Here is a 20,551-nt window from a genome sequence, read left to right on the forward strand (position 1 = left end):
AGTGAGCCAAGGTCTCGCCACTGCCCTCCAGCCTGGGTGACAGAGCCAGACTCCGTCTCAAAAAAAATAAAAATAAAAATTATGTGACTCATCTTTCTGTTGGAAAGCGATGCTCTAGACCATGACTGCTTCTTCGTCTGTCATCATGTCTCCATCTGCTTTCTAAATTTGTCAGAATCATTTGTGCACTGATGACCCTCACTCCCATTTTTTTTTTTTTTTTTTCTGATACAGATTTATTTTCTACTTTGATAGACTCACATGTAGGGTGGAGGAGGTGGGAGGGAATCTGCTATCATGCATATGAAGCTGCTTCTAACTTCTAACCTGTCAGAGCAGTCTGTCACCAAATAATTTAATTGATCATAGGACCTATCTGCAGTCCTTCTTAGAGACAAAGCCAGCGAGATTCTTTAAGTTTAAGCTGGAGACCTTTGTATGTTCACATAGGTGCCCCCGCCCCCTCATTACCACAAGATACCCTGAAGAGTATTTCGGGAATGCCATTTTAGTCTTTTTTCCTGTCCCCATAGAATCACTGGCCTCTTCCTTTTCTAGTCAAAATTCTATTGATCATCTATTCTGGGCCAGAAACTATGCTAAGGGTTGTTGTAGGACTAAAAGACAGTATTTATGAGAAAACTAGTGTAATACCTTGCTGAGAGTGGGATCAATACAAGCTATGTAATTTAGGGCAAGTTAAGGAAACTGAGGCTCATAGAGGTTAAATAACTTGCCATAAATCACAGAGCTAGTAAGTGGCAGAGCTGGGAATTTTTTTTTTTTTTTTTTTTTTTTAGACAGGGTCTCATTCTGTCACCCAGGCTGGAGTGCAGTAGTGTGATCTCAGCTCATTGCAGCCTTGAACCCCGCTAGGATCAGGTGATCTTCCCACCTCCACCTCCCAAATAGCTGCAACTATAGGCATGTAGTCTGGCTACTTTTTGTATTTTTTGTAGAGACAAGGGTTTCGCCATCTTGCCCAGGCTGGTCTTGATCTCATGGCTCAAGCAGTTTCTCTACCTCTGCCTCCCGAAGTGCTGGGATTACAGGTTTGAACCACCACACCCAGCCCAGAGCTGGGATTTTGATCCAGGCCTGTTTGACCCTAAAGGTTGTGCTCTTGACCACAGTTCTGTTTTTATATTACGGACTGTACAGTATAATTGACCACAATTATGGTAGCATCCCTATTTTATAGACTGGAAAACAGAAACTCAGGGAGGCTAAATGACTTGCCAGGGACACTCAGATATTTCTTCTTGGGACCCCCAGAAAAAAGTAAAAGGAGATTTTTTTTTTTTTTTTAAATGGAGTCTCACTCTGTTACCCAGGCTGGAGTGCAGTGGTGTGATCTCGGCTCATTGCAACCTCTGCCTCCTGAAATGTAGCATTGTCAGCCAGGTGCAGTAGCTGACGCCTGTAATCCCAGCACTTTGGGAGGCTGAGGCGGGTGGAGGTCAGGAGTTCAAGACCAGCGTGGCCAACATCATGAAACCCCATCTCTACAAAAATACAGAAATTAGCTGGGCATGATGGCGGGTGCCTGTAATCCCAGCTGCTCGGGAGACTGAGGTGGGAGAATCGCTTGAACCCAGGAGGCGGAGGTTGCAGTGAGCTAAGATCGCGGCACTGCACTCCAGCCTGAGCAACAGAGTGAGACTCTGTCTCAAAAAAAAAGAAAAGAAATGTAGCATTGTGATCAGCCCTAACTCCTGGGGGCAGCCCAGGAACCCTTGTGGGGGTGTGTAATTCTGAGGACCTGGGGAAATTGAGAGGCCCCAAGCTGAAAAAGGGAATATTTATAAAAGCCCCTACTATGATGGGCATGGCACTTACTCAGTTTTTATAATTACTTTTCTAGACTATGGGCCCATCTAGTTTTCTCCGCATACAATAGCAGCCACACACATAATTAGCTCCAGCCCTGCTCTCAGGGTGCTGCTCAGGGGAAAGGATTTGTTCTGTTCAAGGGCCCATTTCAGTGCCTGGTACGTAATAAACACATACATATTTGTTCCTGAACCGCCCTCTGCAAACTAAAGAGCTGTTCTCATATGCACCCATAACAACTCATTACTTATACCTCTCTTGTGCGTGTATTTTTTTTTTTCTGAGACAAAGTCTTACTCTGCCCGGCCAGAGTGCAGTGGCACAATCATGGGTCACTGCAGCCTCAACCTCCTAGGTTCAGGTGATCCTCCTACCTCAGCCTGAGTAGCTGGGACTATAGGCATGTACCACCATACCTGCCTAATTTTTTTTTGTTGTTGTTGTTGTTTTTTGTTTTTTTGTTTTTTGAGACGGAGTCTCGCTCTGTCGCCCAGGCTGGAGTGCAGTGGCGCGATCTCGGCTCACTGCAAGCTCCACCTCCCGGGTTCACGCCATTCTCCTGCCTCAGCCTCCCGAGTAGCTGGGACTACAGGCGCCCGCCACCACGCCCGGCTAATTTTTTGTATTTTTTAGTAGAGACGGGGTTTCACCATGTTAGCCAGGATGGTCTCAATCTCCTTACCCTGTGATCCGCCCACCTCAGCCTCCCAAAGTGCTGGGATTACAGGCGTGAGCCACTGCGCCTGGCCCATACCTGCCTAATTTTTAAATTTGTTTTGTAGAGATGGGGTCTCACTATGTTGCCCAGGCTGGTCTTGAACTCCTGGGCTCACGTGATCTTCCCACGTCGGCATCCCAAAGTGCTGGGATTACAGACATGAGCTACCGTGCTTGTCCTCTGTGTACACTTTTAACTAATTACTCATAATGATTTGTTGAGTAGGTGCCTTGATCTTTGGTACCAAACAGTTCTGATTTTGAGTCCCACCCCCACCTGCCCTATCACTTCCTTACTAATGTGTAAGCTTTGGGAATTTACTTCACCTTTCTGAGCCAAGGCTTCCTCAGCTGAAAAGGGGACAAAATAACAGCACCTAATGAATAGTGTTGTTATGAGAAAAGCGTTTGCCTGAAAGCATTCGGTACAGTGCCTGGAACATAGGCCGAGCCCAGCGAATGTGGGCTGTTGCTGTTAGTCATCCCTAGGCTGCGAGTGCAGGGACTTGTCTCTTGCTTCCTACTGTAGCCCCAGTGTCAGCATTTCTGCTATACCCCTAGTGCTTGGCACGTACCGAGTGGTAATACGTGTGCTGAGTGACTGGCCATTGGATGGTAGGGTGGATGGATGGAAGGACTGGTAAATTCTCCCCTCTGGGCAGCCAGGAGAGCTGAGGCCCAGGAAGGAAAGAAGATCCCCTCAGTGGCTGAGAGTTGGGATCCTGGCCCATGGGCAGGCCTTCCCTCACCACCGTCTTCCCCAGCAGGTTTGGGATGTACATTCCGTTCCTGCAGCTGAATTGCGACCTCCGCAAGACAAGCCTCTTCAACCACATGGCCTCCATGGGGCCCCGGGAGGCGGTCAGTGGCCTGGCAAAGAGCCGGGACTACCTCCTGACACTGCGGGAGACGTGGAAGCAGCACACAAGACAGCTGTATGGCCCGGACGCCATGCCCACCCATGCCTGCTGCCTGTCACCCAGCCTCATCCGCAGTGAGGTGGAGTTCCTCAAGATGGACTTCAACTGGCGCATGAAGGAAGTGCTCGTCAGCTCCATGCTGAGCGCCTACTATGTGGCCTTTGTGCCTGTCTGGTTCGTGAAGGTGCGTACCTCAAGCCAGGGAGGGAAAGGGACTAGCTGGGACTTTACCCTGCTGCCTGCCCGATGTGAGTTCTCCTGCTGGCCTAACTATGCTGTTTTTGATGTGATTTCCCATCTCTGGAGGACTGGAGTGACTACTATCTCCATTTTATTTTTTATTTTTAGAGACAGGGTCTTGCTCTGTCACCTACACTGGAGTGCAGTGGCACAATCATGGGTCACTGCAGCCTCAACCTCCTGGTCTCAAGTGATCCTCCTGTCTCAGCCTCTTGAGTAGCTGTGACTGCAGGCATGAGCTACCATGCCCAACTAATTTTAAAATTTTTTATAGAGATGGAGTCTCACTATGCTGCCCAAGCTGGTCTCAGAATTCCTAGTCTTAAATGGTCCTCCTGCCTCAGCTTCCCAAAGTGTTGGGATTACAAGCGTGAGCCACTACATCCAGCCTGTGTCCATTTTATTTTACTTTTTTTATTTTTTATTTTACTTTATTTTTTTGAGACAGAGTCTCATTCTGTTGGCCAGGCTAGAGTACAGTGGCACGATCTCGGCTTACTGCAACCTCCACCTCCCAGGTTCAAGCAGTTCTCCTGCATCAGCCTCCCAAGTAGCTGGGATCATAGACATGTGCCACCATGCCCAGCTAATTTTTGTATTTTTAGTAGAGACGGGGTTTCATGATGTTGGCCAGTCTGGTCTCAAACTCCTGGCCCCAAGTGATCCGCCCACCTTGGCCTCCCAAAGTGTTGGGATTACAGGCATGAGCCACCACACCCCAGCCTGTGTCCATTTTAGAGTGCAGAGAACTAGACTCACTGAAGGGAAGTGACCTGTCCAAGGTCACCCAGCCAATGAGGGAGACATGGCATTGTTATTCGTAATACTTGATTACAAAGACTAGTGAGTTTGTATTTCAGCAGCTGTTGTAACACAGACATGTCACAATGTCTGGTTTTATCATTTAGTAAGGAAGCCAGTGTTCATCCAGATTTGAGTGATCCCAAAAGCCTGTGCTCTCTTTGTCCTAACCTCTCAGTCTCCTGGGAAGGTACCTCCTCAGCTGCAAGCTGCAGTGGGCTTGAGAGAACTTAATCTCTCTTTTTTTTTAGACGGAGTCTCGCTCTGTCGCCCAGGCTGGAGTGCAGTGGTGCGATCTTAGCTCACTGCATCCTCCACCTCCCAGGTTCAAGCAACTCTCCTGCCTCAGCCTCCCAAGTAGCTGGGATTACAGGCGAGCACCACCACACCCAACTAATTTCTGTATTTTTAGTAGAGACGGGGTTTCATCATGTTGGCCAGGCTGGTCTTGAACTCCTGACCTCAGGTGATCCACCCACCTCGGCCTCCCAAAGTGCAGGAATTATAGCCATGAGCCACCAAGCCCGGCCCTTTTTTTTTTTTTTTTTTTTTTTTTTTTTTAAGACTAGGTCTTGCTCTATGGCCCAGGCTGGAGTGCAGTGGCGCAATCTTGGCTCACTGCAGCCTTTGCCTCCTGGGTTCAAGCAATTCTCCTACCTTAGCCTCCTGAATGTCTGGGACTACAGGTGTGCAGCACCATGCCCGGCTAATTTTTGTATTTTTAGTAGAGACGGGGTTTCGCTATATTGGCCAGGCCAGTCTCGAACTCCTGACCTCAAGTGATCCACCCAACTTAGCCTCCCAAAGTGCTGAGGTTACAGGCGTAAGCCACTGCGCCCGGCCCTTAATGTCTTTTGAGCACCTGTAACACGCCTGGAGCTTTCATAAGTGTTACAATCCTCCTAGCGCCTCTTGGAGGTGGTTCATGGTTGCTTTTTTTTTGTTTTGTTTTGTTTTGTTTTGTTTTTGAGACAGAGTCTCGCTCTGTTGCCCAGGCTGGAGTACAGTGGCACAATCTGGGCTCACTGCAAGCTCCGCCTCCCGGGTTCACGCCATTCTTCTGCGTCAGCCTCCTGAGTAGCTGGGACTACAGGCGCCCGCCACCACGCCCGGCTAATTTTTTGTATTTTTAGTAGAGATGGGGTTTCACCGTGTTAGCCAGGATGGCCTCGATCTCCTGACCTTGTGATCCACCCACCTTGGCCTCCCAAAGTGCTGGGATTACAGGTGTGAGCCACTGCGCCTGGCCTTTTTTTTTTTTTTTTTTTTTTTTTTTGAGGCGGAGTCTTGCTCTGTTGCCCAGGCTGGAGTGCAGTGTTGTGATCTTGGCTCACTGCAACCTCTGCCTCCCAGGTTCAAGCTATTCTTCTGCCTCAGCCTCCTGAGTAGCTGGGACTACAGGCACACGCCACCACGCCCGGCTAATTTTTGTATTTTTAGTAGAGACAGGGTTTCACTATATTGGCCAGGCTGGTCTCAAACTCCTGATCTCGTGATCTGCCCACCTCGGCCTCCCAAAGTGCCGGGATTACAGGTGTGAGCCACTGCGCTGGGCCTAGTAGTTGCTCTATCCTCATTTGACAGATGAGGAAACTAAAGCACAGAGAAGGTAAGTGACTAGCCCAATGTCACATAAATAAGCAAAAGAGCCCAGATTTGAATTCAGGTCTCTTGGACCCCAGAGCCTGTTCTCTGGCTCAGAGTGGTGGGCAGTGGGAGCAAATTTCCTTGTAGAAAACCAACTAGTGGGCACAGGGCCTAAGCCTTGTTTGTTGGGTGTTTGATTCTTGGTTTCAGGCTATTCTGAGGTCTCCCCAGGACTGTCCTAACCTCTCAGTCAGGTAGAATCAGGGAAGGAAAGGGAATGAGGCCATTATGGGGATCCCAGGCCTCACCCACCTTCTGCTACCCCCAGAACACACATTACTATGACAAGCGCTGGTCCTGTGAACTCTTCCTGCTGGTGTCCATCAGCACCTCCGTGATCCTCATGCAGCACCTGCTGCCTGCCAGCTACTGTGACCTGCTGCACAAGGCCGCCGCCCATCTGGGCTGTTGGCAGAAGGTGGACCCAGCGCTGTGCTCCAACGTGCTGCAGCACCCGTGAGTCACCCTACCCTGCTCAACCCAATCCCAGCCCTTCTGGTCAGCATCTGGAGTCACTTGTCCACTCGCTGATTAACTTATTTAGTTAGCAAATAGTTATTGAGCGTGTCTTGTATATTATTAGGCCAGGTGTCCAGGGTGGGGTATGGTGGGGCCTGACACACATGTTCCCTATCCTTGGGTAACTTGCAGTGTACTGAAGATGGGAGGGGACTGATGGTAATTCATGGACTTGTTGACTTTCTCTTTGCTGACTGTTTATTCACTCATTGCCTTACTTGCTCATGCTTCACTCTTCTCTTACCTGCTCACTCATCCACTGGGTCATTACGTCACCTACTCTTTCAGCAGACATTTACTTCCACCCAATCCATACCAGGCCTGTGGATGTGCCAGGCAAAAGAGCTTGGACTTTGACTTAGGCCCAGCGGAGATAGAGGATTTTTAGCAGTGGAGGGACCCATGCCAAGGTGTGCTTTAGAGTCATCAGCCTGGTGCCAGGATGTGGTGCTGTGCTAGTTGATGCTGAACCCTGGCCAGGGAAGGATGAGATGGGCAAAAGAGACCTAGCTGCAAGAAGGCACTGCACCCAGAGCAGACACAGAAGTCACACTGCTCAGGGGCCCTTTTCCAAAGTACTTTTCACCCCATTATACTAATTTTCCTGCCTGTATTTCCCCATTAGACTGGAAGCTCCTCAAGGCCAGGATCACCTCGGAAGCACATCTGAGTCTTGGGTCCAGGACAAGGCTTGGCAGAGAGGAGGCCCCTAGGACAGGTTTGCAGAGGTAGGCCCACCAAGGAGCAGAGATGCAAGCAAGGCCATAGAAGCTAAGCCTCCTGGTGTTGGCCATGCATGTCAGTCAGGGTCCCTTTCAGGCTCTGTCCTGGAGGTCCAGAAGAGTGACTGGGCATTGCTGATTGGGCCAAAAGGAGGCTTGGCTTAGCCTTGGGCTCTGAGGGGTGGGAGGAATAGAAAGATAGAACATAGCTGAACATGAGGATATACCTGTCCATGGCTCACCGTGGTCCTTCGCGTGGCTTCCCAGATGATGAGCTGGGTCCTGCCAGATGTTTCTGCCTCATCTTTTACCATGCCCCAACCCATCCTCTGCTCTTCAGCAAAGCAAAGCAAATCTCCTCAGGTCCTCATATGCTTTATGCACTTGTGCCTTCAGGATTTTGCATGTGATGTGTCTTTTGCTTGGGATGGTCTTTCCATTCTTTCTATCCTGATTAACTCCTATTCATCCTTTAGCACTTTGCTTCCTCCAGGAACACTTTCCTGACCATCCAGAATGGGTTCAGTGCCCCTCCCCTATAAGGGGCCCCTCCTTTCAGTGGCCCATAATACCATAATCATTGCATTTAATGCTGTCTACTGTGTTTGCTTAGTTACCTGCCTGTCATTTCAGGACTAAAAGTTCACAAAGGTCAGGGCCCTTGCCTGTCTAGCACTCAGTTGTCTCCTCTGGCCTTTTTTTTTTTTTTTTTTTTTTTTTTGAGATGGAGTCACGCTCTGTTGCCCAGGCTGGAGTGCAGTGGCACAATCTTGGCTCATTGCAATCTCCACCTCCTGGATTCAAGCGATTCTCCTGCCTCGGGCCTCCCAAGTAGCTGGGATTACAGGTGTGCACCACCACACCCGGCTAATTTTTACGTTTTTAGTAGAGATGGGGTTTCACCATGTTAGCGAGGCTGGTCTCAAACTCCTGACCTCAGGTGATTCACTCGTCCTGGCCTCCCAAAGTGCTGGGGTTACAGGAGTGAGCCACTACACTTGGCCTAGGCCTTTCTTTTTAAGGTAAAATTTCCATACAGTGAAATGTGCAATCCTTTTTTTTTTTTGAGACAAGGTCCCACTCTGTCTCCCAGGCTGGAGTGCAGTGGTGCAATCACAGCTCATTACAGCCACAACCTCCTGGGCTCAGGTGATCCTCCCACCTCAGCTCCCAAGTCGCTGGGATTACAGGCGCATGCCACCACATCCAGCTAATTTTTGTATTTTTTTGTAGAGACAAGGTTTTGCCATGTTGCCCAGGCTGGTCTAGAGCTTATGGGCTCGAGCGATCCACCCACCTCGACCTCCCAGAGTGCTGGGATCACAGGCATGAGCCACTGCACTTGGCCTACAAATCTTAAAGGGTACAATTCTTTCAGTTTTGATAAAGGTATATATACTCATGTAACCCACCCCTCATTCAAGATATAGAACATTTCCAGCCCTTCAGAAAATGTCCTCATGGCCCTTCCCAGTGATCCTTCCCCCAAGACAAACTACCTTTCTGTTTTCTTTCACGAGAGGTTAGTTTTGCCTGTTGTAGAACTTAATATAAATGAAATCGTGTCCAACTTCTTCTTTTTTTTTTTTTTTGCTACAGAGTGTCACTCTGTCACCCAGGCTGGAGTGCAGTGGCGCGATCTTGGCTCAGTGCAATTTCCGCCTCCCAGGTTCAAGCAGTTCTCCTGCCTCAGCCTCCCGAGTAGCTGGGATTACAGGCGTGCGCCACCATGCCCAACTAATTTTTTGTATTTTTAGTAGAGATGGGGTTTCACCATGCTGGCCAGGCTGGTCACGAACTCCCAACCTCGTGATCTGCCTGCCTCAGCCTCCCAAAGTGGAACTGGGATTATAGGCGTGAGCTGTTGCACCCGGCCCCAACTTCTTTTTTTTGTTTGTTTGTTTTTGAGATGGAGTCTCGCTCTGTCGCCCAGGCTGGAGTGCAGTGGTGTGATCTCGGCTCACTGCAAGCTCCGCCTCCCAGGTTCACACCATTCTCCTGCGTCAGCCTCCTGAGTAGCTGGGACTACAGATGCCCGCCACCGCACCTGGCTAATTTTTTGTATTTTTAGTAGAGACAGGGTTTCACCATGGTCTCAATCTCCTGACCTCATGATCCATCCGCCTCAGCCTCTCAAAGTGCTGAGATTACAGGCGTGAGCCACCGTGCCCGGCCCCCAACTTCTTTTATTCAGCATATTGTTTGTGAGGTTCATTCATGTTATGAGTCGCACAATAACTTTTCTTTTTTGTTTTTTGAGACGGGGTTTCGCTCTTGTTGCCCAGGTTGGAGTGCAGTGCTGCGATCTTGGCTCACTGCAACCTCCACCTTCCGGGTTCAAGCGATTCTCCTGCCTCAGCTTCCCGAGTAGCTGGGATTACAGGCCTGTGTCACCATGCCCCGCTAATTTTTTTTTGTATTTTTAGTAGAGACGGGGTTTCACCATGTTGGCCAGGCTGGTCTCGAACTCCTGACCTCAGGTGATCTGCACACCCTCGGCCTCCCCAAAGTGCTGGAATTACAAGTGTGAGCCACTGTGCCCAGCCAACTATTTTTTTTTTAAATGAGTGAGTCAGCAAGGCAAGAGCATTGGGTTGAGAAGGGGGCTGCTTACAGGCTGTGACTTGCAGTCCTCTGGTCCAGGCCCTTGGGATTCCTGGGAGATCTCACAGGACATTATAAGAAAGCTCACTGGGCCAGGTGCAGTGGCTCACGCCTGTAATCCCAGCACTTTGGGAGGCCAAGGCGGGCGGATCACGAGGTCAGGAGATCGAGGCCATCCTGGCTAACACGGTGAAACCCCGTCTCTTCTAAAAATACAAAAAAATTAGCTGGGCGCAGTGGCGGGCGCCTGTAGTCCCAGCTACTCAGGAGGCTGAAGCAGGAGAATGGCATGAACCTAGGAGGCGGAGCTTGCAGTGAGCCGAGATAGAGATAGCGCCACTGCAGTCTGGCCTAGGCGAAAGAGCGAGACTCTGTCTCAAAAAAAAAAAGAAAGCTCACCGGTCCTAGCATTTCATTCACATGCTCACTAGGGCCTCTCTGTGCCAGGCCTTGCGGCATGCTCTGAGGACACAGGGATGGATTAGATCCTCCCGCTCAAGGGCTCTCAGCCTAGTGAGGTATACAGATGGGAAATAAATAGATGACCAGCATTGGGGAATGTGGACTAGTAGCAGGAGATGCAGGGAACAGTTAAAGGATGCCAAATGGGCCAGGCACGGTGGCTCATTGCCTGTATCCTAGCACTTTGGGAGGCCAAGGCAGGCAGATCACGTGAGGTCAGCAGTTTGAGACCAGCCTGGGCAACATGGCGAAACCCCGTCTCTACAAAAAATACAGAAAAATTAGCCGGGCGTGGTGGCAGGTGCCTATAGTTCTGAGGCAGGAGAATCACTTGAACCCAGGAGGTGGAGGTTGCAGTGAGCCGAGCGCCACTGCACTCCAGCCTGGGCGGCAGAGTGAGACTCTGTCTCAAAAAAAAAAAAACACTCATAGGTTGGAATTGAACAATGAGAACACTTGGACACAAGGTGGGGAACATCATACACCAGGACCTGTGGTGGGGTGGGGTGGGGGAGGGATAACATTAAGAGAAATACCTAATGTAAATGACGAGTTAATGGGTGCAGCACACCAATGTGGCACATGTATACATATGTAACAAACCTGCATGTTGTACACATGTACCCTAGAACTTAAAGTTTTTTTAAAAAAATAAAAGGATGTCAAACTCTAGGGAGTTTGAGAAAGGCTTTGTGGAGGAACCTGGGTTTTGAAAGATGATGAAGAGCTTACCAGAAGGATTAGGCTTTGGGAAGGGCAATCCAATTGGAGGGAGCAGCTTAGGGAGAGACGTGAAGCAGTACAGAGTGCTGGAGGAACGAGAAACAGCATGAGCTGTGTGGTGAGGGTTGTGGGAAGCCACACAAGACCTCAGAGGCCATGTCAAATCCTTGGGGCCTTGACCCCAAGGGCACTAGGAAGCCTTCAAAAGGTTTTAAGCAGGACCAGGCGCTGTGGCTGACGCCTGTAATCCCAGCACTTTGAGAGACTGAGGTGGACAGATCACCTGACGTCAAGAATTCGAGACTAGCCTGGCCAACATGGTGAAACTCCATCTCTACTAAAAATACAAAAATTAGCTGGGCATGGTGGCAGATGCCTGTAATCCCAGCTACTCTTCAGGCTGAGGCAGGAGAATTGCTTGAACCTGGGAGGCGGAGGTTGCAGTAAGCCAAGATTGTGCCACTGCACTCCAGTCTGGGCGACAAGATCGAAACTCATTCTCAAAAAAAAAAGCCCACAAAGAGTTTTAAGCAGAGGGTGGTCAGGCTGAGCTTAGTATTTTACAAAGACCACTCAGACAACTGTGTGGTGGACCACTTGGAGGCAAGAGGTGAGACCAGATGAAGCAAAGGGACCCAGAGAGGAAGAAGGGTTCTCTCAACAGTCTCTTAGTAATTAATGTCAGCCCTAGACCACCTAACTCACAGTACAGTGAATTCCTCATGATTCTTACCCCATTTTACAGAGGAGGCAACTGAAACCCAGAAAAGGAAAGTCAGCGTGTCTAAGTGATAGAAATGGGAGTAGAGCCCTGGTGATTCCCTCCTGCCCATTCTTCTGGTATCCCTTTTGTGGGTGAGCTGGGGATAAGGGGCACCATTGAACTGTGCCCCCAGGTGGACTGAAGAATGCATGTGGCCGCAGGGCGTGCTGGTGAAGCACAGCAAGAACGTCTACAAAGCCGTAGGCCACTACAACGTGGCTATCCCCTCTGACGTCTCCCACTTCCGCTTCCATGTGAGTCTCCTCCCCGGGGAAGGAGGGTTGGGGCCTGAGAGGGTGGGAGGATCTGCAGGGCAGGAATGTGATGTCATTGCAAGAGAAAGCTATTTTCAGTATTTCCCCAATCCAAAGGAAGACAGTGCACACATGTAGCACAAGGACAGCCATATAAATTGTCACTTAATAACTGCAGCTCGGCCGGGCATGGTGGCTCACGCCTGTAATCCCAGCACTTTGGGAGACCAAGGCAGACAGATCACCTGAGGTCAGGAGTTCAAGACCAGACCAGCCTGGTCAACATGGTGAAACCTCGTCTCCACTAAAAATACAAAAATTAGCCAGGTATGGTGGCGGGCGCCTGTAATCCCAGCTACTCGGGAGGCTGAGGAGGGAGAACCACTTGAACTCAGGAGACGGAGGTTGCAGTGAGCCGAGATCATGCCACTGCACTCCAGCCTGGGCAACAGAGCAAGACTCATTCTCAAAAATAAATAAATAAATAACTGCAGCTCATTTGGTTGTAGATCTTTGAGAACATTGGACAGAGGGAGAGAAGATGATACAGTAAAAGAAGGGGCTCTTGGCAGTGAAAGACAATACTGTCTTCATTTGTTACTGTGTGCCAGGCATGTCGTTAAGCACTCTCCATGTACCTTCCTACTCAGCCTTACCCTGAACCTTGTACGTGAAAGATATGCTAGGGTTATCTCTGTTTTTAGATACTGAAATCAGCTAAGAGAGTTTAACTTGTTAAAGGGTGCCTTCTTGGGAAACTTGAGAACCTAATGGTAATGACTCATGACTTAGCTATGGAAAGGGCTGCTCAAAATTATCTAAACTAGTGATCTCTATTTTTTTTTAAATTTCACTATGAAATCCCCTCCCCCCCTTTTTTAAAAAAAACAATCAGAGGCCAAAATCCAATATATGGGACATCCTGGCACTGCTCTGTTTGGAGGAGTTAGAACCCCCTTCACTTCCTGCTCACCCCCGCTGTAACTCCTAAAGGATCCCCTTGAAACCTGGGGCTCTAAGGAACACAGCATGAGAAATCACTGACCTAGACTGATGTCTTCATTTCACAGTTGAGACATCCAAGCCCCAGAGAGGAAAGGGACTTGACCAAAGTATTGCAGCCTGTTAGGTGCAGAGCTGAGCCTGATATCCTGGTCTCTTGGCCTCCCATTTCCTACCACTTCTCCTGTCCTGTAAGCAGCTCTTGAGATTTAGGTACCTTGGCCCCTGTGGAATCAAAATCCCTAGACACTGTGCACTCTTTTGAACTCATCAGAGATTTTTTTTTAGTCCCTACGTTCTACCTTGCTGTTGAGAGTGAGCTGTTGCCATGTCCCTTGGCAGCTTCCAGCCTAGCTAGGGATGTACCTATGAAGTAGTAGGTAATTCAGGCTGTAGAGTCTGTAATAACTTTCCATGCCTATGTCATAGGATTCTAATTTGTTCAGGCCCAGCAATACCCAGGAGATGACATTAAAAGGTGTTGATTTTATTGAGGGTCAGTGGATGAGGGAGAAAAAGTTTTCAAAAATTAAAAAAAATTTTTTTAAAGGTGTTGACTTTAGACCACAAAAAGAGTTTGAGAGAGCAAGCAGAACCTGTCAAGAAAGACTTCCTAGGGGAGGTAGAAGTTGAACAGGATCTTAGATGACTTACATCAGAAGCAGCAGTCCTATCAGGAGGAATACCACAAGCAAAGGCAGATGAGGTGGCAAAGTCCACATCCAACCCCAGAAAGTCTTCTTCCCCACCCATGTCTGCATGGGGCCCCAGGAGGCTGTCCCCTTCACTGGCCCACCCAGAACCCCCATCCAGGAGGAAGATTTCTGGAGCACACCTTTTAGCCATGCCCACCCGCTTCCGGGCAGTTCTTTTTCAGCAAACCCCTGCGGATCCTCAACATCCTCCTGCTGCTGGAGGGCGCTGTCATTGTCTATCAGCTGTACTCCCTAATGTCCTCTGAAAAGTGGCACCAGACCATCTCGCTGGCCCTCATCCTCTTCAGCAACTACTATGCCTTCTTCAAGCTGCTCCGGGACCGCTTGGTATTGGGCAAGGCCTACTCATACTCTGCTAGCCCCCAGAGAGACCTGGACCACCGTTTCTCCTGAGCCCTGGGGTCACCTCAGGGACAGCGTCCAGGCTTCAGCCAAGGGCTCCCTGGCAAGGGGCTGTTGGGTAGAAGTGGTGGTGGGGGGGACAAAAGACAAAAAAATCCACCAGAGCTTTGTATTTTTGTTACGTACTGTTTCTTTGATAATTGATGTGATAAGGAAAAAAGTCCTATTTTTATACTCCCAACAAGCCTGTGTCCTGTGGTTCTTTTCCTTCGTGTGTGTGAGACCTATTACAGAGGTGTGGGATTCTGGTTTAGGAAGCCCCAACATGTGGCTTCTGAAGCCTCTGTGGGTACTGCCTTCTTCAGTAGAGAGGAGATGAGAAGGCACTGGAGGCCACGGGAGCAGTGATAGCTACTGCGAACTGAATGCTCACTGTGTGCCAGATGCTGCTCTGTGTGTATTTCAGGCCTTGCCTTAATCTAACTTTTATGACAACCCTAGGAGGAAAGTGCTATCACTCCAATGGATGAAGAACTGGAGCTCAGAGAGTTATAGTGACTTGCCCGTAGTAACACAGCTAGGAAGTGGTAGAGCTGGACATAAAACCTCTGAAAGGCCGGGCACAGTGGCTCAAGCCTGTAATCCCAGCACTTTGGGAGGCCGAGGTGGGCAGATCACTGAAAGCCAGGAGTTCGAGACCAGCCTGGCCAAGATGGCAAAACCCCATCTCTACTAAAAATATAAAAATTAGCCAGGTGTGGTGGCGCATGTCGGTAGTCCCAGCTACTTGGAAGGCTGAGCCACGAGAATCGCTTGAACCTGGAGGCAGGGGTTGCAGTGAGCTGAGATCGCGCCATTACACTCCAGCCTGGGTGACAGAGCAAGATGCTGTCTCAAAAAAAATAAAATAAGGCCGGGCGCCATGGCTCACACCTGTAATCCCAACACTTTGGGAGGCCGAGGCAGGTGGATCACCTGAGGTCAGGAGTTTGAGACCAGTCTGACGAACATGGAGAAACCCTGTCTACTAAAAATACAAAATTAGCCAGCCATGGCGGGTGGCGCATGCCTATAATCCCAGCTACTCGGGAGGCTGAGGCAGGAGAATTGCTTGAACCCAGGAGGCAGAGGTTGCAGTGAGCCAAGATCCCACCACTGCAATCTTGCAGTGCCAAGACTGAGCCAAGATCCAGCCTGGGCAACAAGAGCAGAACTCTGTCTCAAAAATAAAAATAAAAAACCTCTGAAAGATGACACTACTATCCTGGCAGAATGTGATTTCTTGATTATCTCAGCATGCAGTCACTGGGACCCTCCTTGCTGGGTATTATGGTAGATGGTGAGGATGCCAAGACACTGGAACAAGCAAGTAATACTACACTGGGATGAGCCCAACAGTTACAAGGTACAACAGAGCAGAGGGGAGAGAATGCTTAATGTTCTCTGGGCTTTTTGGAGGAGGGGATAGTCTGAATTGTATTAGCCACTTCCTAGGTGAACAAGAGAGGAAAAGGGTGTTTCAGTTAGAGAAGCAGGCAAATGTAATAGTGCACATGCAGTAGCACATAGATTTGGAACATCCTGGTGTGTTTCGGGGAAGGTAAACAGAATGTGGATCTTAGAGCAGGAATGATTTAAAAAAAAAGTGGAATGGGAAAAGTCAACAGAGGCTGGATCAGGGAGGACCAATAGTCCTAGGCTAGCAAAGGTGTATGAGCAGGGTCATGTGCTAGAGTAGAAACAGCTGCTTGTAGGTCACTGCCTCCTATGGGCATAGGATGGAGGGTTCAGGCTGAAAGGAGAGGAAACATGGACACTCAGCCATTCTCATCTATTCAGCCCACGTTCCCTGAGCCCTTCTTCGCCATAAGGTATGCAGACGAGCTCACAATGCTATATGGGAGACACACACCTCAACAAATATTTTTGGTGCCTCTACTGAGGCAGACACCGTGCTGAACACTGGGATGGTTACAAAGATAAGGAAGATACTGTTCCTTCCATAGACAAGGAGAGAGAGACACACATTGTGAGCAAATTTGGGTGTGAAATGCTAAGGAAAATTAGTGTCCATTTCTTCCTGTAGTAGCAGAGAGGACAGGTGCCCTATCTGGAAAGACAGGCTTCCCCAAAGAGCTGATAGCTGAGTTCAGTCTTGAAAGCGAGTAGTTCTCAGAGTCAGGCGCGGTGGCTAACGCCTGTAATCCCAGCACTTTGGGAGGCTGGGGCGGGTGGATCACCTGAGGTCAGGAGTTCAACACCAGCCTGGCCAACATGGCAAAATCCCGTCTCTACTAAAAATACAAAAATTAGGCTGGGTGCCATGGCTCATGCTTGTAATCCCAGCACTTTGGGAGGCCGAGGCGGGTGGATCACGAGGTCAGGAGTTCGAGACCAGCTTGGCCAACACAGTGAAACCCTGTCTGTACTAAAAATACAAAAATTAGCTGGGTGTGGTGGCAGGCACCTGTAATCCCAGCTACTCGGGAGACTGAGGCAGGAGAATCGCTTGAACCCAGGAGGCAGAGGTTGCAGTGAGCCGAGATCACGCCCCTTTACTCCAGCCTGGGCGACAGAGCTAGACTCTGTCTCAAAAAAAAAAAAAAAACCAAAACACCAAAAAAAACCCAACAACAAAAAATTAGCCGGGTGTGGTGGCGCATGCCTGTAATCCCAGCTAGTCAGGAGGCTAAGGCAGGAGAGTTGCTTGAACCTGGGAGGTGAAGTTTGCAATGAGCCAAGATCATGCCATTGCACTCCAGCCTGGACAACAAGAGCAAAACTCTGTCTCAAAAAAAAAAAAAAAAAGTGAGTAGTTCTCATGGTTAAGTGGGGAAAGGAGGGCACTGCATTCTAAGCAGAGGGAACAGCATATGCAAAGGCACATGAGAAGACAGGCGCATATTTGAAGAAAAGTGGTTCTCCAAATATGGTTGGAGCCTGCATTGCCTGGTGGGGAGTGTCCCAAGAAGCAGGTAAGGACCAGTCTGTGCCAGATTAAAATGTCTGGGCATTACCTAAGGGCAGGCAGTAGGAAGTTGCTAAGCAGAAGAGTTACACTGTAAGGTTTCTGCTTTTTTTTTTCTTTTTTTTTTTCTTTTTTTTTTTTTTTTTTAATGAGACAGGTTTCTCTGTGTTGCCCAGGCTGGTCTTGAACTCCTGGGCTCAAGCAATTCTCCCACCTCAGCCTTCCCAGTAGCTGAGATTATAGGTCTCTGCTTTTCAGGAGATAGTGGGTGGGAGCCGGAGAGTCTGGAGGCAGGAGGCCAGAGAGGAGGCAGGCAAAACAGAACAGGGCAAAGTGATGAGGTCTCACCTTAAGCAGGGGCAGTAGGAAGGGAAATAAAGTGCGCCCCTTCCTGACCTTCATCCTAGAGTTTTCCTTTTGATTTCTTTGCCTCAAGAAAATGGGCCAGGCGCACAACTAAAGTTGGCAGTTTGTTGTGACAGGCCCTTGTTCTGCTTCCAGAAGATAGATCCCTCTGTGTCTTGAAGATATAGCCTGGCTCTGTGTGTCGAGGTGGGGGACAGGAGGGCTGCCATGTCATGGAAAAAGAAAGGCCTGATATGTACTAGCCATACGTCCCGTGATTGAAAAGGCATATGAACAATAAAAGCCTCAATTTCCTCATCTCTAAAAGGGGAGATCATGTCCCTTGCTCTGTGTAACTCAATTTTTTGTTCATTCCTTTGTTTATTCATTCAATAGTTATTTATGGAGCACACACAATGTGCCAGATTCTGTGCTAGGTGCTGGAGATACGGTGGTAAACAATATAGAACCCACCCCTGCCTTCAAGGAGCTTGCTGTGAGGATAAATGAAATGATTATGAAATCACTCTGTTAACTATACTGCATGGGTCTCATTGTTTTTCTTTTTTTTTTTTAGAGACGGGGGATCTTGCTATGTTGCCCAGGCTGGTCTCGAACTCTTGGGCTCAAGCAATCTGCCGCCTCAGCCTCCTAAAATGCTGGGATTACAGGAATGAGCCACCATGTCCAGCCCATTTCTTTCTCTCTCTCTCTCTCTCTTTTTTTTTTTTTTAGAGACAGGGTCTCACTCTATCACCCAACCTGGAGTATAGTGACACAGTCATGGCACTGCAGCCTTGACCTCCCGGACTCAAGTGATCCTCTCGCCTCAGCCGCCCAAGTACAAGTGCTCATTACCATGCCTGGCTAATTTTTTTCTTTTAATTTATTTTTTGTGGAGATGGGGTCTCACTGTGTTGCCCAGTCTGGTCTTGAGCTCCTGGCCTCAAGTGATTCTCTGGCCTCAGCTTCCCAAAGTGTTAGGATTATAGACAAGCGTGAACCACCACACCCAGCCCTATTTTTCTATTTCTCATCTCCCAATAAGATTGCAACCTCAACTAGGGCTACCTACGTAGGCCTAATCAGAAAACCTGAGTTTAGTCTTACTTCTTTGTTTCCTTCTCTCCATAGCCTCATTGAGCAAGGCACTTCCCCTCTCTAGATGATTCGTTGTTCATATTCAGCCCAAGGTCTATGATTGCTGTTTTTGTTTTTAGAGACGGAGTTTTGCTCTTGTCTCCCAGGCTGGAATGCAGTGGCACAATCTCGGCTCACTGCAACCTCTGCCTCCCGGGTTAAAGCAATTCTCCTGCCTCAGCCTCCCAAGTAGATTACAGGCATGCGCCACCACACCCAGCTAATTTTTGTATTTTTAGTAGAGACCATGGGCAGGCTGGTCTCGAACTCCTGATCTCAGGTGATCCGCCCGCCTCGGCCTACCCAAAGTGCTGGGATTACAGGCGTGAGCCACAGCGCCCAGCCGATTGGTTTCAACTATTAGAAGAAGGGATAAACTGGCCCGGAGCGGTGGCTCAAGCCTGTAATCCCAGCACTTTGGGGGCGGGCGGATCACCTGAGGTAAGGAGTTCAAGACCAGCCTAGCCAACATGGTTGAAACACCGTCTCTAGTAAAAATACAAAAATTAGCCAGGCGTGGTGGCAGGCGCCTGTAATCCCAGCTACTCGGGGGGCCGAGGCAGGAGAATCGCTTGAACTCGGGAGGCAGAGTGTGCAGTGAGCCGAGATCGCGCCATCGCACTCCAGCCTGGGGGGACAAGAGCGAGACTGCGTCTCAAAAAAAAAAAAAAAAAAAAAAAAAAAAAAAGGAGGGATAAGCTTCTGGGAGAAAAAGTTCCGGGTAAAGAAATCTCACTATAAAAAAGAAATAGTAGCAGAAACAGCTGGGAACTCCTAGACACACTTAACTTTCTTAGGTATCCCTTCCAGTCTCCTCCCAACCACTCCTTTCCTATTTCATTTCCACTCCCCACCTTTAGTAGCTGCGGTCTCTTTAAGTGCGCACTTTCGGTGTAATGATAGGCGATTGGGCCAATAAAGCGTTTCGTCCTGGAGTTAACTGGTTTGTCCCTTTCGGGCTGCCGTCCTACAGATCCGCCATATTGTCTACTGAAAGCTGCCGCTGAAGCTGCCGCCGTTGCCTCCGCCGCCAAGAGTGAGCGAGCGGACCCGCGATGGGTGAGTGAGGAAACCACGCAGTAGGGTTCTTGGGCTCAGGGAGTGTCGGGGCCTGGGATTTGGCGAGAGCCTGTCTCCGGTCTGCGGAAGATGTCTGCATCCCCTCTAGCTAGGTCTGAGGGGAAAAGTCAGGCCGGGAGTGCCCCTCTTGCCAGTTTTGGGCCGAGCTAGGGCCCGTGCTGGAAGCAGTCCTTTGGTGCTGGTTTCGGGGACACCTTGGCACGCCTGGAGCCCCCCACATGGTGGCCTCGGGCAGGAGCCCACGTGTTCCTGGGAGGTAGAAAGGGGCCTACTCTCTGTCCTGCGCCCAGACTGGGGCTGGGGGACGGGCTCCCGGCGGCAGGCCTGGGCGGCGCTAAGGTAGCTTTCTCCTGGGTTGTGTTTGGCCAACGCGTGTCTTGACTAGATTCAGTGGCTCCCCTGAACTCAGGGAAGTCCTACCTACGTAGCGAGGTGGAGTCCTCTAGTGAGGGGACGTCAGGCGAGCCAGCACTAGGCCGGTAAGCATGGGCAGCCAGGCCGAGGGCAGCTTGCGCCGCTGAAGGCCGGGAGAACGGAATCAAGGCGGAAATAGTGTGGTTCGGTTGGGCTCAGAGTGGCATCGCTTGTGATGGTAGAACACCAAAGGCCAAGTCCTCTTGGCCATCTTTAGGTTGAGGACTTTAGGTTTCTGGGCTGGCCCTGGTAAGGAGAAAAGGAGCGACCTGTTGATCTTTCTGAGGGGACTCCGGCTGGCAAGGCCTCTGTTCAGAGAGAATACCATGGCGAAGTCTT

At 49.5% G+C, this 20,551-nt stretch overlaps 2 protein-coding genes across 16 annotated transcripts in view, besides 5 other annotated features; both read left to right on the forward strand.

The window, feature by feature from the left end:
• The window catches only part of TMEM39B (transmembrane protein 39B), a 30,833-nt gene extending 16,327 nt beyond the window's left edge, over positions 1 to 14,506 (forward strand). For 7 of the 14 annotated variants that reach the window (NM_001319677.2, NM_018056.4, NM_001319679.2 and 4 more), the window contains 4 exons: positions 3,318 to 3,654; positions 6,427 to 6,614; positions 12,085 to 12,205; positions 14,074 to 14,506. In NM_001319677.2, coding sequence (NP_001306606.1) covers positions 3,318 to 3,654; positions 6,427 to 6,614; positions 12,085 to 12,205; positions 14,074 to 14,316 — 889 coding nt within the window. In that variant the 3' untranslated portion in view covers positions 14,317 to 14,506. Of the gene's footprint in view, positions 1 to 3,314; positions 3,655 to 6,426; positions 6,615 to 7,302; positions 7,406 to 11,933; positions 12,206 to 12,383 lie in introns of those variants that run through there. The other 7 variants (XM_047423840.1, XM_006710725.5, XM_006710724.3 and 4 more) reach the window with 7 other exon arrangements.
• Positions 3,409 to 3,934: an enhancer, noted in NCBI's record as "H3K4me1 hESC enhancer chr1:32557367-32557892 (GRCh37/hg19 assembly coordinates)". NCBI's record gives its function as "activates a minimal SCP1, AML or CMV promoter by ChIP-STARR-seq in primed H9 embryonic stem cells {active_cell/tissue: H9 hESC(primed)}" and the evidence as "EXISTENCE:reporter gene assay evidence [ECO:0000049][PMID:30033119]".
• Positions 19,393 to 19,911: an enhancer, noted in NCBI's record as "H3K27ac hESC enhancer chr1:32573351-32573869 (GRCh37/hg19 assembly coordinates)". NCBI's record gives its function as "activates a minimal SCP1, AML or CMV promoter by ChIP-STARR-seq in naive H9 embryonic stem cells {active_cell/tissue: H9 hESC(naive)}" and the evidence as "EXISTENCE:reporter gene assay evidence [ECO:0000049][PMID:30033119]".
• Positions 19,393 to 19,954: a biological region, named in NCBI's record as "H3K27ac hESC enhancer GRCh37_chr1:32573351-32573869".
• Positions 19,525 to 19,954: an enhancer, noted in NCBI's record as "active region_668". NCBI's record gives its function as "activates an Ori minimal core promoter by ATAC-STARR-seq in GM12878 lymphoblastoid cells {active_cell/tissue: GM12878}" and the evidence as "EXISTENCE:reporter gene assay evidence [ECO:0000049][PMID:35858748]".
• KPNA6 (karyopherin subunit alpha 6) overlaps positions 19,699 to 20,551 on the forward strand; it is a 68,508-nt gene continuing 67,655 nt past the window's right edge. For both annotated transcript variants that reach the window (XM_024446165.2, NM_012316.5), the window contains exon 1: positions 19,699 to 19,777. Coding sequence is in view for 1 of the 2 variants with exons in the window: in NM_012316.5 (NP_036448.1) it covers positions 19,774 to 19,777 (4 nt within the window). In the remaining variant the exon portion in view is untranslated. The remainder of the gene's footprint in view (positions 19,778 to 20,551) is intronic.
• Positions 19,912 to 20,429: an enhancer, noted in NCBI's record as "H3K27ac-H3K4me1 hESC enhancer chr1:32573870-32574387 (GRCh37/hg19 assembly coordinates)". NCBI's record gives its function as "activates a minimal SCP1, AML or CMV promoter by ChIP-STARR-seq in naive and primed H9 embryonic stem cells {active_cell/tissue: H9 hESC(naive and primed)}" and the evidence as "EXISTENCE:reporter gene assay evidence [ECO:0000049][PMID:30033119]".

The sequence above is a fragment of the Homo sapiens genome, chromosome 1, assembly GCF_000001405.40.
Source record: "Homo sapiens chromosome 1, GRCh38.p14 Primary Assembly".
In the NCBI taxonomy this organism is placed as follows: domain Eukaryota; kingdom Metazoa; phylum Chordata; class Mammalia; order Primates; family Hominidae; genus Homo; species Homo sapiens.